We start from the raw sequence: 15788 nt of genomic DNA on the forward strand, positions 1-15788 counted from the left end.
TCTATTGTATTTGGTACTATTTTCAGATGCTCCTGCCTTTTTCTTTCGTAATTTTGAAGGACCTCAGCTCCCTGCCTCCTAGATTTTTGCTACTATGGTCTCAGAGCTGTGTAATTTGGATGACTGAGATGGAAAAACCTCTGGAAAACCTTTATTTATGTTGAATAAGTATTCCTTGAATCCTTCCTCAGCATCCTGGGTTATATTTGATTTGCTCTGCTCATGATAACTTCATGCCAAGGAGACTGCTATCAGTTCTCTTAAAACAGATCCCAACTCCCTGCTCATAGTGGCCAAAGGAATGGAGATTTCAGGCTGAGTTTACTTACGTGCATCATCTTCATCTATCCAGAAGCATCCCTGCACAAAACCTCTGTTTCTACCCTTCCATTCACTCGGCTCACTTTTCTGCTCTTAGTACCCTTTGTTTCTTGTGAACTCTCCAGCAGGAGTGACTTGCAATTTGTATCCACTGACACTTAAGTTCTCGGAAGTGCTGGAGAAGTGTATGGAAGTAAATTATCCTGATGTATAATTTTGTGCATGTGAAACTCACCGTGGAAGTGCCTATCTAATTTCAGTATGGAACACAGCTAAACATTTGGATCAATAATCCAGTTTTGAAACCACACTTCATTTAAAGTACAATGTGCTGAAAAAAATGAAAAAAGGGTGCTTTCAAATTTGTACTTAGTAAACTTTCACTAGATCACATCATATGTTTATCACTAGTCATGTTGTATTTCTATGTGTAATCGCCAGGCACTTTTAATTTCTAGTTTGCATTTACCATGCCAGCCTCCTCCTCAATCCCAAATTTCCTTTGGTTATAAATTTAGTAAATTTGAAAGAGCCAGCAGGGATTAAACCCTGAAGGTATTCAAATGACTATCTGACGTTATTCCTCATTTCAGCCATTTCGAAAAATTATGCTTTCATTTAGAATAGGCTCTGGGAATCAAAGTGTGTGTATTTTGCCCAAGTAGAAGACACAGTTTAAAGTTAACATCCTAGCTACTAGAAGGGAAAGCAAACAACATCGCTGCAAAAGGAGCCTATTTTTTTTTTACCTTACACTAAAACTACATTGTGAAGATCAAACGAAATCAAGATGAGAGTGTGCCTCTTAACGCCAGGTCCAAAGTAGATGCTTATTAAATGATAGTTTACCCCAATCCTTCACAAATGGTTGATAGGTCTTACTATTTCCCCCCTATTCAAATCTAGAATTTTTTCACTCCCATATACTAATCGATAGTTAATGGAAAGCACAGAATAGATCATCGTCCAAGTGTTAGGTATTAGCCTGAGGAATCCGGAATCCCATATTTGTAACTGTCCTTCTTGAGAAAGTGCATTTTTCAGGCGGATTCTAGCCCCATTTTTCCTTTTACCATTTTTACATGTTATGAGAGGTGGCTTAGAAATACTTCGATTTTTGCCTCTTCATCACAACACACTGAACGTTAAAATCAAGTGGTTGGGTTTTTATTGGCTTATTTTGTCTCTAACCGTTTTATTTCTCGAGCTGTCATCGTTCTTTTCGTCTTACATCCTTATGAACCTTTTCTGGATTAAAAAAATGACGTTATAATAAGGAAACTGTAACTGGCGTTGGATTAGAACGAAGTTGACTCCATTCCTTTTCCTCCCCGTAGTGTGGGCGATACGAGGAAAGACCTCGGCAAGAACCAGCGAAGCCCCGGCTGCCCTCGCCCTGCGGGCGCACACTTGCTCCTCGCGCCGGGCTGCGCCGGGCGCCCGCGCCGCCTCGGCGTGTGTCCGCGGCTCCCTCCCGCCCTCGCCCGCAGTCCCCCGATCCCGATCCCGGATCTCTGGGTCCACAGCTTGGCTCCCTCCCGAGCCGGAGCCGGAGCCGGAGCCGAAGTCGCGGCTGGGCCCGGCCGCCCCGTCACAGGGGGAGGGAACCCATGGGGAGGGGGAGGGGCGGTGAGGTCAGCGGCGGCGGCGCGTCCGCGGGCGGCGGGAGCTTCGCATGCGCGGAGCGAGGCCCGTGAGTGGCAGCGGCGGCGCGCGGGGGGCGGGCGAGGGGCCGAGAGTGGGGGAGCGGGCGGGGGCCGTCGAGGAGGCGTTGTGTGGGCGCGACGGCTGCGAGTTGGGGAGGTCTGTGGTGCGGGTCGCCCCGGGGGATCCCCGGCGCGGGCCTCGCGCGACGGCCACGGTCGCGCGGCGTGTGTGGGGGGTCCACGCACACCCGCAAAACTTCCTCCTCCCCTGCTCCGGGAGAGCGAGCGAGCGTGTGTGAGAGCGAGTGTGAGGAGCGAGCCGCGGCCCGACGCCCAGCGCCGCCGCTGGAGCAGCTGTCAAAACTTCGCCGCCGCCCGGGCCCCGCGGCCCGCCCTCCCCGCGCCGGGCCCCTTTCTCTTCCTGCTGCGGGCGGCCCGGGGGAGGGGCCGCGGGCGGAGACCCCGGAGGCCGGCGCCCCTCACGCCGCCCGCCCGCCCGCTCCCCGCCCGGCCCCTGCGCGCGTGCGTGTCCTGCTCGCTCCATGTTGCCGCCTCTCCCGGTACCTGCTGCTGCTCCCGGGGCTTCGGGAAATGCGAGAGTCTGAGCCGGGGAGGAGGAACCCGAGCAGCGGCGGCGGCGGCCGCGGCGGCGGGAGCCCCCCAAGAGGAGGACCGGGATCCATGTGTCTTTCCTGGTGACTAGGATGTCGTCGGAGGAGAACAAGTGCGTGGAGCAGCCGCAGCCACCACCCCCCGAGGAGCCTGGAGCCCCGGCCCCGAGCCCCCCAGCCGCAGACAAAAGACCTCGGGGCCGGCCTCGCAAGGCGCTTCCCCTTTCCAGAGAGCCAGAAAGAAGTAAGTTGAGTGCGAGGGAGCCAGGCCGGGAGCCAGCGGCGGCGCCGGGCCGGAGCTGCCACCGGGCGCCCGCCCCGCGGCCTCCACGCCTTGGCGCCCCCCGGCGGGATGGGGGCGGGGCGGGCCCGCGGGCGGCGGCAGCTCCCGGCCCCGGCCCCACGCCCCTCGGTAGCCGCCCGCGCCCGGCCTCCCCCGCTCCGCGCCGCCCGCCCGGGCTCCCGTCGGCGCCCGGCTTCGCACACTTTACTTTTCAGTCGGGCCTTTTCAGTGGGTCTTCTCCGCGACTCTTCTTTTGGAGAAATTTCTCGTAGCCGCGTCTTGGCCTAGCTGGATCATTGAGAAAACAAGCCCGGAGCGCGCGCAGGTAGTCCCCGGACGGACTCCGAGCGAACCGCCGAGCCGTGGGCGCTCGGGAAACTCGGAGCTGTCAAAACGCCCGGGCCAGGTGGTCTCGGGGCGCGGGCTGGGGGCGAGAAGAAAGCGGCCGGGCGAGTGCAGCTTTTGTTTGTCAGCGACTCGTTCGTGGAACTTTTCCTGGTCCCAAACCTGTGTTTTCTTCTTTTGATGATATATTAGGAAGCCATTTGGCTTCTTCCTTCCCCCTCCCCCAACACCCAGCACCGCACTCCCGGGCTCCGAAAGCACAAGTCCTGTGGGAACCCCCAGCTTCGGGGAACGGCCTGCCTAAGTTTTGGAGACGTAGCCAGCGTCCCCTCGTAAGGCAGAATACCAAGAGCACTTATTCAGAGAGAGTGCAGATGTAAATGTCGTTTCCCTCGTAAGTCTTAGCTGTAAGGGGCTTGGGAATAGGGTCGCCTGCCTTTGACCGACCGTACTGTAGGGCTGGACACCGGCTTATTAGAGGACCAGAAATGTCTTCTTACAGAACGGTTATTTGACGGCTTTGCTTGTAAATTAAGACACCGTTTTAGTGCCAGCGAGCTGCTCGGCTTCTGTGGCTCTCGCGTGTGCCGTGGAAGAACTGTGAATGTCTTTCGAAGTTGTAGAATGGCGTGTGTGCTTACTCATTTCATGAGATGATATTCTCATTGAACTGTCGGGAGTGGAAGGGTGCGCTGGGACGTGAAGGAAGCCAGCACGTTTATGGATAGGCTGTTTCTTTGGTTCGGGTGCATTCACTTAGTAATAGTGTTGTTTGGTGATTTGTAGTAAAAATAGTAGCGTGAACTGAGGCATAGCAGAGCTGGGTTGTGGGAACCCATTAAGCTCTTGACTTGAATGTGCTCTTTTCTTGCCCCGCTGTCCTTTTACTATGAAAATGATTCAGGGCCTTCAACTTGCCTCCATATTTTATTGCCAGCTCTTACCTAGCTATGATAATCGTGAGGGAGGCAAGTACAGGATGTGTGTACGTTATTACATTAGCTTCTTCGTGATACAAAGTTAGGACTTACTTATGCCACTTGCGTTGTAATACAATGGCAAATATAAAATGCCCTTATTCTATATTAACTGAAATTTGGAGAAGGAAGTGGAGGTTTAAGTAATTTTTAGACGTCTAAGCCACTTTTTTGCATCCTTTAAAGCAACTCAGGACAAGCCATATTGGGGGTTTTACCTTGATTGCCTCCCATTTCACTATTTGCAAAGCATTTCTTCATCTCTTACTGAACATTAATTTGCAATTTTTTTTTTTAATTTGCATTTGAATTCTTACTCCAGAAAGATTAGATCTGTGTTGTCACACCCCACACCCCATACTCCTGTAAGGGCGTGCTTGTGCACGCGCACACGCTCACACGCACGCGCACACTCGCACACACCCTACTTTTGAAATGAGCTCATTTGTATTAGTGCAGCTCCTGAGTGCACTGGACGATTAGGGTATTGCCACTTTATTATTTTAATTCTTAATCTCATATTATGAAGAAATAGGTAGCCTTTGGAGAAGATAAAAAATTTCTGCTGAATAACAGTATAATCTAACTATGAAACATCAAAACTTTTGGAAATATTTAGAACAAATGTAAGTCTGTAGAGAGCTTTTTCTTTTAGATTTGAAAACTAGTACTGCTTTCTTTATAGGAAAGTAAAGTCTACTGGTAAATTTCACGGGTCTAAACTTTTTAGAGCTTTTTTTTGAAATTGTGTCTTTTGAAGGGAGTGGAATCTCCAGTTGTTTTTAGAAACATGTAAATGGAAACTAACATATGAATTGGAAAGCAAAGAGAAAGTTTTTCAATTGTGTATCTCTATACTGTATAAGAATCCATGCAGAAAAGACCCTGTAGTTGGATAGTAAAGACCCTGAAGGTGAAACTTATGTGTAACCAGTGTAAATTAGGTTTGTAACCAGTGAAATTATGTGAAATTGCAAATAATTCACCTGAGAAATGAAAATTAATCTTCTTTGCTAAATGCCATAGAGATATTTTAAGTTGCTAATGTTACTTAGATGTTCATTAACTTAGTGAGTTACATTAAGTAGAGAAGATGCCTTTTTTTTTTTTCTGTACGAAGTCTTGCTCTGTAGCCCAGTGTAGTGGTATGATCTCGGCTCACCACAACCTCCGCCTCCTGTATTCAAGCGACTCTCCTGCCTCAGCCTCCAGAGTAGCTGGGATTACAGGTGTGCACCATCGCACCTAGCTAATTTTTTGTATTTTTAGCAGAGACAGCATTTCACCATGTTGGCCAGGCTGTTCTTGAACCCCCGACCTCAGGTAATCCACCCTCCTTAGCCTCCCAAAGTGCCAGGATTACAGGCGTGAGCCACTGCACCCTGCTGAGAAGATGCCTTTTGACAATGAAGTGGATTTGTATATTTATCTTTGGCTTAAAAAAACATGCACCACCAATTACACTTTCCTCAAGTTTAAATTTTTAATAATTAGGAAAATAAAGCATTTTCTTGTCTTATAGTGTTAGCTAGATTGTTTTTGTGTATTTTGTCATGAATAAAAAGCATAGCTATATAGTTACTGCTTTTACATTAACTATAAATATCTTAAAATTTTACTACCTAAAATCAGGAAACTTGAACTGAAGCTACTAATCTTAGAGTTGGAAAAGTAAATACATAGAGGTTTCCTGTTGTACAAATGTCAAGTGGCACAGTGAAATTTACATTCATTTGAAAGTTTTCCTTAACTGTAAAAAGTATCAAATTACTTGATACTTTGGAGTAGTTCATCATCTTTATCAGAGGCACAGGTCTTAACCATTGGCAAGCCTCTGTCAGAATATGCACATATTAAAGATCTGATTATTTTTGTGTTAATGTTAAAAAATTTTTCTGAAGCTTTTATCTTATTTTTTCCATCCTTACACCGTAAATTCACATTACCAAGTTGGGAAGCCAAAGAAACATTCTACTCTACTATGTTTCTTACCAGTTCATGAAAGTTGATGTTAGAAATGGGTGTGGGTGTGGGGGATGGGGGTGGTTGTACAGAAGCAGCAGGTGGTAGGGATAGGATTTCTGAAGCACTATCCTTGGCCTTTTTTGAGTAAACTCTTTATACCCTGAGCCACTTTCTTTTCAGAGGGCAATTGCTATTATTAGAGAGCCACCTTAAGCATTATTGTTGTAGAAAAATTAGGCACAACCAGTGATTGTCATTACAAGGACCAGCAAAAATGGCTAGGTTGCTACTCTGTATTTGTAACGCCCTTCCCCCAACAAAATTTCTCCTTTTCATATCTGTGAATTAGAAATAAGTGATAGAAAACTGTACTGCATTACAATATATACCATTTAATAAAACAAGTTTATAGTTGAGAGCACTATTCATGCTTTTTGAGATAATGCAAATTTGTAATTTTTATGATAGCAATTCTTAATAATTTATTGTCCAAGAGATTTGATAAAATTTTTGATAGTTATTGGTCTCTGGGACTCAATAGGCACTGAAATGTTTTAATTCAGTTGAAAAGTTGGTTCAGGATTGCTACCCTCTCTTACCTGTTAGGAGGTTGTTGTTTAACCTGACCTGAAATTCCCATGAATAAGAACCTGTTTTTTTTTTTTTTTTCTTTGACAGAGTCTTGCTCTGTCGCCCAGGCTGCAGTGCAGTGGTGCGATCTTGGCTCGCTGCAAGTTCCGCCTCCCAGGTTCAAGCGATTCTCCTGTCTCAGCCTCCCAAGTAGCTGGAGTAGCTGGGACTGCAGGCACGTACCACCATGCCTGACTAATTTTTGTATTTTTAGTAGAGACGGGGTTTCACCGTGTTAGCCAGGATGGTCGCAATCTCTTGACCTCATGATCTGCCTGCCTTGGCCTCCCAAAGTGCTGGGATTACAGGTGTGAGCCACCGCACCTGGCCCAGGGAATTTCTAATATTTGAGAAGATGTTATTTTTAGTCTATTATACAAATTTATATATTGTTTACTAATATATAAATTTACATATTGGTTACTAATATGTAAACACCAATTTACATATTGGTTACTAATATGTAAACTTGATAAACATGGATTTCCATGGAAATTTAAAAGTATCACAACAATTTGTTTTCCCATTCTGAAACTTGTGATTTATTACATTTTCCTACTATTTCAGTTAATTCCATAATGCCAGATTTGTTGTCAATTTGCCGAGTGACAAGCCACACTGCTTCCTCTCATTCCTCTATTCCGCAAAACTGCAAAGTTTCCCAGACCACAGTCAGGTTTCTCTGGGTTGTCCAACTCTGTAAACTTACAGAGTGGTTGTCCAACTCTGTAAACTTACAGAGTGGTTGTCCAACTCTGTAAACTTACAGAGTGGTTGTCCAACTCTGTAAACTTAAGTCACTTTAAGTTTATGACGGAGGGGCTTCGTGAAACTTCATTGACCTTCCAAGGTGAAAATTGGTCAGTTTTCAGTTATAAAGGACATTAAGGATGGGTGTGGTGGCTGATACATGTAATCCCAGCACTTTCGGGAGACTGAGTCAGGAGGATCACTTAATCCTCATTTAAAAGGAGTTTGAGACCAGCCTGGGCAACAAAGTGAGGCCTTGTCTCTACAAAAAAATTAGCTGGGTGTGGTGGTAGGCACTTGTAATCCCAACTACTCTGGAGACTGAGCTGAGAGAAGATTGTGTGAGGCTTGGAGGTTGAGGCTGCAGTGAACGGACATCACACCACTACACTCTAGTCAGGTGACAGAGCAAGACTCTAAATAAATAGGAACATTAGATGGTCTCTCTGCACTCTTGCCTGGTGGGGACGTGTTAGATACCCTCGTTAGGTTGTGATTTAGTTTTTAATCTGTGAGATGTTTGGGTCAAACAATTTTTAGCTGCCATGGAATAAACTTTCCAGTCAGCGTGTGAGTTTGTGTTTGCCTTTACTTTTTTTTTTCTATATTGTTTTGGTCTATTTTTATCTTTTAATTTCAGAAAGCTGATTAATCTCTTCCTTTTCTCTTTAAAAATTTTCTTTATCATGTTTGTGCTACAGTGGTTATTTTGAGAACTTGTTGGCAGGATAAGTTGCAAAAGTTATGAAGTAGAATAGGGATGATTTCTGTTTTTGTTTTTTTTTTTTTCAGACAGAGTCTCACTCTCTTGCCTAGGCTGGAGTGCAGTGGCGTGATCCTGGCTCACTGCAGCCGCCGCCCTCCGGATTCAAGTGATTTGCCTGGCTCAGCCTCCCAAAAAGCTGGGATTACAGGTGCATGCCACCACACCCAGCTAATTTTTGTGTTTTTAGTAGAGATGGGTGTTCACCATGTTGGCCAGGCTGGTCTCAAACTCCTGACCTCAGGTGATCTGCCTGCCTCCGCACTCCCAAAGTGCTGGGATTACAGACGTGAGCCACCATGCCTGGCTGAGATTATTTCTTTTTTTATTATAGCCATTGCTTGTAGATATATGCTGGTGGTTATCTGTAAAAATGTAATAGAAAGGCCGGGCACGGTGGCTCACACCGGTAATCCCAGCACTTTGGGAGGCTGAGGTGGGCGGATCACAAGGTCAGGAGTGGGAGACCAGCCTGGCCAATATGGTGAAACCCCGTCTCTACCAAAAATACAAAAATTAGCTGGGCATAGTGGCGGGCACCTATAGTCCCAGTGACTCGGGAAGCTGAGGCAGGACAATCGCTTGAACCCAGGAGGCAGAGGTTGCAGTGAGCTGAGATCGTGCTATTATTGCACACCAGCCTGGGCGACAGAGTGAGACTCCGTCTCAAAAAGAAAAAAGTAATAGACCAATCTTGAATTTATAATTGGAAGTGTTGATCCCTTTATTTGCAGAATTTATTTATTTGTGACGCAGCTGTTGCTACCTCGCCTTTTCTTTTGTTGAGCTTAATCTCATGTCAAGTCATTCAACCAACTCAAAAGCGATGAAGACATTATTGAATCAACCTGAACTAAATCAGACCTAGGCTTCTTAAAATATACAGCTTAATGCTTCCAAATGATTTAGAAAACTAAAAAACCTAGCTACGCTGTAGGACACACAGTGGCCAATAATACAGGACCCCCAAACTGGCCAGTGGACCACTGCAACCACTATTTACTTCCTCCGTGTTTAGGAATGTTCAACGCTCCAAGCCCCATAGGCTGATTCAAGAAGATAAAGTGAGACTCAAGGAATTTCGAAGTGGAACAATACACCAAAGCCTTAAACCTGAAATGACTCTCCTTTTCTGGGGGGTGAGGGGGAAAGAAAAAGAAAAAGTTTCTAGGGCTCTCGGGGTGGCCTGGATGCCAGGGTCCCAGAAGTGGCCTTTTCTAGCTCCTGTAACTAAACCTGGCGGAAAACTCCCCGCCTGCTCACTCCACCCCCACCCGCCCAAGAATGCGTCTTCCCGTCTTCGGTGGCCCTACCCAGAATCCCAAAATGTGGGTTCCAACCCGGGCCCTGAATGTCTTCTCAAATCCCCGGGACCCAGGTTCCGGTGCGTGCCTTGCGTGCCGGGTCTTGCCCCTCGGGCGGTACCACCCAGGCAGCCCTAAATCCAGCCTCCCGGGCCCCCAGCAGCGCCCTCCGCCCCTCCACTATCCGGTCCGGCTCGAAGTCGGGGCCAAATCCAGAGACAAGAGGGCTGTGCCTGAAACTGAGCAGTTTCACCACTCGGCACTCCTGGCGGAAACTTCCCTTTAAAAAAAAGAAAAGAAAAGAAAAGCAACAGCACTTTTGGGCTAGCATTTCAATCCTTCCTGCCCTTTAGAGTTCCCAGTTCTGCTTCCAGCTGGCTTTGGGTGTTCCACTAGAATTGAGTTGTAAAGATATTCTTTAAGTGTTTATAGAACATTAAGACTTAAAAAAAATCTTTAAAATTAGAGGAGGGAAAAAGCCACCTTATCGCACACATCCAGGAAATGCAGCCCCGTGCATCCCTGCTCAGGGATGAGCAGGCGCCCCAGGACTCCCGGAGACAGATTTTTGGGCACCCGAGGGAGTCACCGGGCGCGTGTCGGGGTCCGCGGTGAGGCCCAGCCCCTCCGGCGGTCCCTTAGACGCGCCCTCTGCCCGGCCGGTGTGGACCGTCCCGGCCATTGTTTACGGGGGATGCCCGTCCAGACGCATTGTTTTGGCCGTTTCCAACTTGCCCCGGCCCTTTCCGGGGCATCGCGGGGGACCCTACACCGACGTCCCCCCTCCGCCCGCGCCCCAAGGGCTGACTGGGCAAATTGGCAGATCCGCCCCGCGGGGCGACCCAACTTTTCGGAACAGCCCCCCACCGCCCACCCCTGCAGATCCCCGGACCCCCGCTCCCGGCGGAGATTCAGGGAACCCCGCATCCCAAGCCCTTCTAAATCGTGCGGCCTGAGTGTGACGGCCAAGAGCGGATGCAGCCCGGGATCGCCCGCACCTTCCCGTGGGCGGAAGCGCAGGAGCCGGCTGGGGAGGGGGCGCCCTAGAGAAGCGGCTAGAAAGCTGAGACGGGGAACTGAGGTCATCCTGGGGGGGACAAGACAATGAGAGCCGGGCGCCTTGGGGGCGGCGCGGGAGCCTCCGCAGGACCAGGCGGGCGCCCCCTTTACCTGCGGCTCCGGCGCCTCGGCCGTTTCCTCGCGCGGCGGCGGCCGGGACTGAGCTGACACCACTCAGCCGGCGGGGTTTGAATGAGGAGGAGCGGGCGCGGAGGGGAGGGGGCGGGGAGGGAGGGAGGGAGGCGTCGCGGAGTTTCTCTCGGCCTTTTGTGCCATCCGCCGAGGCGCCTTGAGTATAAATCCAGATAGTGCAGTTTTTGTTGTGCTTGTGCTGATCAACTTTATGGTGTGATTAAATACGATTTTTTTTATTACGCTCTTGAAATTGTACTCTTGAGGTTGCAGAATGGCAATTAGATGGCAGTCGCTGATAGCCATGTAGAAGTTTTGATGAACATGCAAGTTAATTTTAATTTCTGATCAGTTACGGTTAGTGACTGTGGCCAAACATGTGCGTACTGATTCTACATGTGTGCTAATTCCGTGACGTTTATTCACCAGCTATGTGTCCCGTGCCTAATCCTGTGTCAGGCACCTTGTTCCAGGCATTGGGGGCAGCAGTGGACAAGGCAACAGAGTCTCCATCCTGAGGTGTTACTTTTAGAAAAAGATAGTTACAAGCAAATAAACAGGATGGTTTTAGATCTGGACAGAGGTTTTCAGAGGAAGTCATCCTTGAGCTGTCACAATGCTTTGGGGGTAGGGTGTGCTGGGTAATCAGGGATGGCACATTTGGGGTGCCTAAGGATTGCTGTGGCCCTGGGAGCCTAGGACAGTTGGTCACAATTGACTTATTAGAGTCAGTCTCAGAAGCTTTCCTGGAGAAAGAATTGCTGCTGTTTTGCCAGGAGGGTTTCCTTCCCCATCTGACCACACAAGAAGACCCCTTGGCCTAGAATGCCTACCCTCATCTCCAGGTCTCCCAGGCTGTTCACCCTCCCAGGCAAAGTGGAAGCTTCCTCTGTCCTAAGATCGTTTCCCACTGAACCTCCTTCATTTTCCTTCACTGCAGAGAAATAATCCTACAAGGTCTTGTGTGGAGAGTGATGGTAACTTCTTTAACCCAGATAATTGAGAATTGGAACCAAAACATCTGTGTATTAATAAATATTTTCAGTAACTAGGTTATGCTATTTCCCTGAGTGGGAAATAACACTCCATCATGTTTCTTTTTTTGGGGGGCAAGGGGGGAGTCAAAGTTGTCAGGCCTCTGAGCCCAGGCCAGGCCATCGCATCCCGTGACTTGCACATATACATCCAGATGGCCTGAAGTAATTGAAGATCCACAGAAGAAGTAAAAACAGCCTTAACTGATGACATTCCACCATTGTGATTTGTTCCTGCCCCACCCTAACTGATCAATGTACTTTGTAATCTCCCCCACCCTTAAGAAGGTTCTTTGTAATTCTCCCCACCCTTGAGAATGTACTTTGTGAGATCCACCCCTGCCCACCAGAGAACAACCCCCTTTGACTGTAATTTTCCATTACCTTCCCAAATCCTATAAAACAGCCCCACCCCTATCTCCCTTCACTTGACTCTCTTTTCAGACTCAGCCCACCTGCACCCAGGTGAAATAAACAGCTTTATTGCTCACACGAAGCCTGTTTGGTGGTCTCTTCACACGGATGCGCATGAAATTTGGTGCCGTGACTTGGATCGGGGGACCTCCCTTAGGAGATCAATCCCCCGTCCTCCTGCTCTTTGCTCCGTGAGAAAGATCCACCTACGACCTCAGGTCCTCAGACCGACCAGCCCAAGAAACATCTCACCAATTTCAAATCTGGTAAGCGGCCTCTTTTTACTCTCTTCTCCATTCCTCCTCCTTCTCCCTTAGCTTCTCCAACCTCCCTCACTATCCCTCAACCTCTTTCTCCTTTCAATCTTGGCGCCACACTTCAATCTCTCCCTTCTCTTAATTTCAATTCCTTTCATTTTCTGGAAGAGACAAAAGAGACATGTTTTATCCGTGAACCCAAAACTCCGGCGCTGGTCACGGACTGGGAAGGCAGCCTTCCCTTGGTGTTTAATCATTGCAGGGACGCCTCTCTGATTATACACTCACGTTTCAAGGGTGTCAGACCACGCAGGGACGCCTGCCTTGGTCCTTCACCCTTAGCGGCAAGTCCCGCTTTCCTGGGGCAGGGGCAAGTACCCCTCAACCCCTTCTCCTTCACCCTCAGCGGCAAGTCCCGCTTTTCTGGGGCAGGGGCAAGTACCCCTCAACCCCTTCCCCTTCACACTTAGTGGCAAGTCCCGCTTTCCTGGGGCAGGGGCAAGTACCCCTCAACGCCTTCTCCTTCACCCTTAGTGGCAAGTCCCGCTTTTCTAGGGGGCAAGAACCCCCAAACCCCTTCCATCTGTGTCTCTACGCTCTCTTCTGTGGGTTTGCTTCCTTCACTATGGGCAACCTTCCACCCTCCATTCCTCCTTCTTCTCCCTTAGCCTGTGTGCTCAAAAAGTTAAAACCTCTTCAACTCACACCTGACCTAAAACCTAAATGCCTTATTTTCTTCTGCAACACCGCAACCGCTTGGCCCCAATACAAACTTGACAATGTCTCTAAATGGCCGGAAAATGGCACTTTCGATTTCTCCATCCTACAAGACCTAAATAATTTTTGTCGAAAAATGGGCAAATGGTCTGAGGTGCCTTACGTCCAGGCATTTTTCACACTTCGTTCCCTCCCTAGTCTCTGTTCCCAATGCGATTCCTCCCAGATCCTCCTCCTTTCCCTCCCGCCTGTCCCCTCGGTCCCAACCCCAAGCGTCGCTGAGTCTTCCCAGTCTTCCTTTTCTACAGACCCATCTGACCTTTCCCCTCCTCCCCAAGCTGCTTGTCGCCAGACCGAGCTAAGTCCCAATACTTCCTCAGCCTCCACTCCTCCACCCTATAATCCTTCTATCACCTCCCCTCCTCACACCTGGTCCGGCTTACAGTTTAGTTCCGCGACTAGCGCTTCCCCACCTGCCCAACAATTTCCTCTTAGAGAAGTGGCTGGAGCTGAAGGCATAGTCAAGGTACATGTACTTTTTTCTCTATCAGACCTCTCTCAGATCAGTCAATGTTTAGGCTCTTTCTCATCAGACCCCACTAAATATATACAGGAATTCCAATATCTAACTCTGTCCTACAACTTAACCTGGAGTGACTTAAATGTCATCCTGACTTCTACTCTCTCCCCAGATGAACGGGAAAGTTTTTTCTCTAGCCCAATCTCGTGCTGATAACCGCCGGCTTCATGAGCCAGACCTCCAGGAAGGCATTAGAGCAGTTCCCCGAGAGGATCCCCAATGGAACTATCAGGCAGATTCCCCAGGTACAGCTAGGCGAGATTACATGGTTTCCTGCCTAGTTGAAGGGCTTAAAAAAGCAGCTTACAAAGCTGTTAATTATGACAAGCTTAAAGAAACTACCCGAGGTAAAGACGAAAACCCAGCCCAGGTCATGGCCCACTTAGCAGCAACCATTAGATGCTATACTGCCCTAGACCCAGAGGGGCCAGAAGGCCGCCTTATTCTTAATATGCATTTTTATCACCCAATCCACTCCTGACATTAGGAAAAAACTTCAAAAATTAGAATCTGGCCTTCAAACCCAGCAGGAATTAATCAACCTTGCCTTCAAGGTGTACAATAATAGAGAGGAAGCAGCCAGACGGCAACGCATTTCGGAGTTACAATTACTTGCCTCTGCTGTGAGACAAAACCCAGCCACACCTCCTGCATACAGGAACTTCAAAATGCCTAAGACGCAGCAATCAGACACTCCTACAAGACTTCATCAGGATCTTGCTTCAAGTGCCAGAAATCTGGCCACTGGGCCAAGGAATGCCCACAGCCCAGGATTCCTCCCAAGCCATGTCCCATCTGTGCAGGCACCCACTGGAAATCAGACTGCCCAGCTCGCCCGACAGCCACTCCTGGAGCCCCTAAAGCTCTAGCCCAAGGCTCTCTGACTCCTTCCCAGATCTATTCGGCTTAGCGACTGAAGATTGACGCTGCCCGATCGCCTCGGAAGTCCCCTGGACCATCACAGAAGCCGAGCTTCGGGTAACTCTCACAGTGGAGGGTAAGTCCATCCCCTGTTTAATCGATACGGGGGCTACCCACTCCACGTTGCCTTCTTTTCAAGGGCCTGTTTCCCTTGCCCCCATAACTGTTGTGGGTATTGACGGCCAAGCTTCAAAACCCCTGAAAACTCCCCCACTCTGGTGCCAACTTGGACAACACTCTTTTATGCACTCTTTTTTAGTTATCCCCACCTGCCCACTTCCCTTATTAGGCCGAAATATTTTAACCAAATTATCTGCTTCCCTGACTATTCCTGGAGTACAGCTACATCTCATTGCTGCCCTTCTTCCCAATCCAAAGCCTCCTTTGTGTCCTCTAACATCCCCACAATATCACCCCTTACCACAAGACCTCCCTTCAGCTTAATCTCTCCCACTCTAGGTTCCCACGCCGCCCCTAATCCCACTTGAAGCAGCCCTGAGAAACATCGCCCATTCTCTCTCCATACCACCCCCCAAAAATTTTCGCCGCTCCAACACTTCAACACTATTTTGTTTTATTTGTCTTATTAATATCAGAAGGCAGGAATGTCAGGCCTCTGAGCCCAGGCCAGGCCATCGCATCCCCTGTGACTTGCACGTATACATCCAGATGGCCTGAAGTAACTGAAGATCCACAAAAGAAGTAAAAACAGCCTTAACTGATGACATTCCACCATTGTGATTTGTTCCTGCCCCACCCTAACTGATCAATGTACTTTGTAATCTCCCCCACCCTTAAGAAGGTTCTTTGTAATTCTCCCCACCCTTGAGAATGTACTTTGTGAGATCCACCCCTGCCCACCAGAGAACAACCCCCTTTGATTGTAATTTTTTATTACCTTCCCAAATCCTATAAAACAGCCCCACCCCTATCTTCCTTCACTGACTCTCTTTTCGGACTCAGCCCACCGGCACCCAGGTGAAATAAACAGCTTTATTGCTCACACAAAGCCTGTTTGGTGGTCTCTTCACACGGACGCGTATGAAAAAAGTCTCGCCCTGTTGCCCAGGCTGGAATGC

The 15788-nt window shown here is 48.6% G+C and overlaps 1 pseudogene across 1 annotated transcript in view; it reads left to right on the forward strand.

Annotated features, from left to right (window-relative positions):
- The first annotated feature begins 2517 nt into the window (after positions 1-2517).
- The window catches only part of TPTEP1 (TPTE pseudogene 1), a 46920-nt pseudogene continuing 33649 nt past the window's right edge, over positions 2518-15788 (forward strand). Inside the window, 3 exon segments of the transcript NR_001591.1 lie at positions 2518-2822; positions 12265-12500; positions 14684-14785. The product of NR_001591.1 is annotated as a TPTE pseudogene 1 (transcript).

The sequence above is a fragment of the Homo sapiens genome, chromosome 22, assembly GCF_000001405.40.
Source record: "Homo sapiens chromosome 22, GRCh38.p14 Primary Assembly".
NCBI lineage: Eukaryota > Metazoa > Chordata > Mammalia > Primates > Hominidae > Homo > Homo sapiens.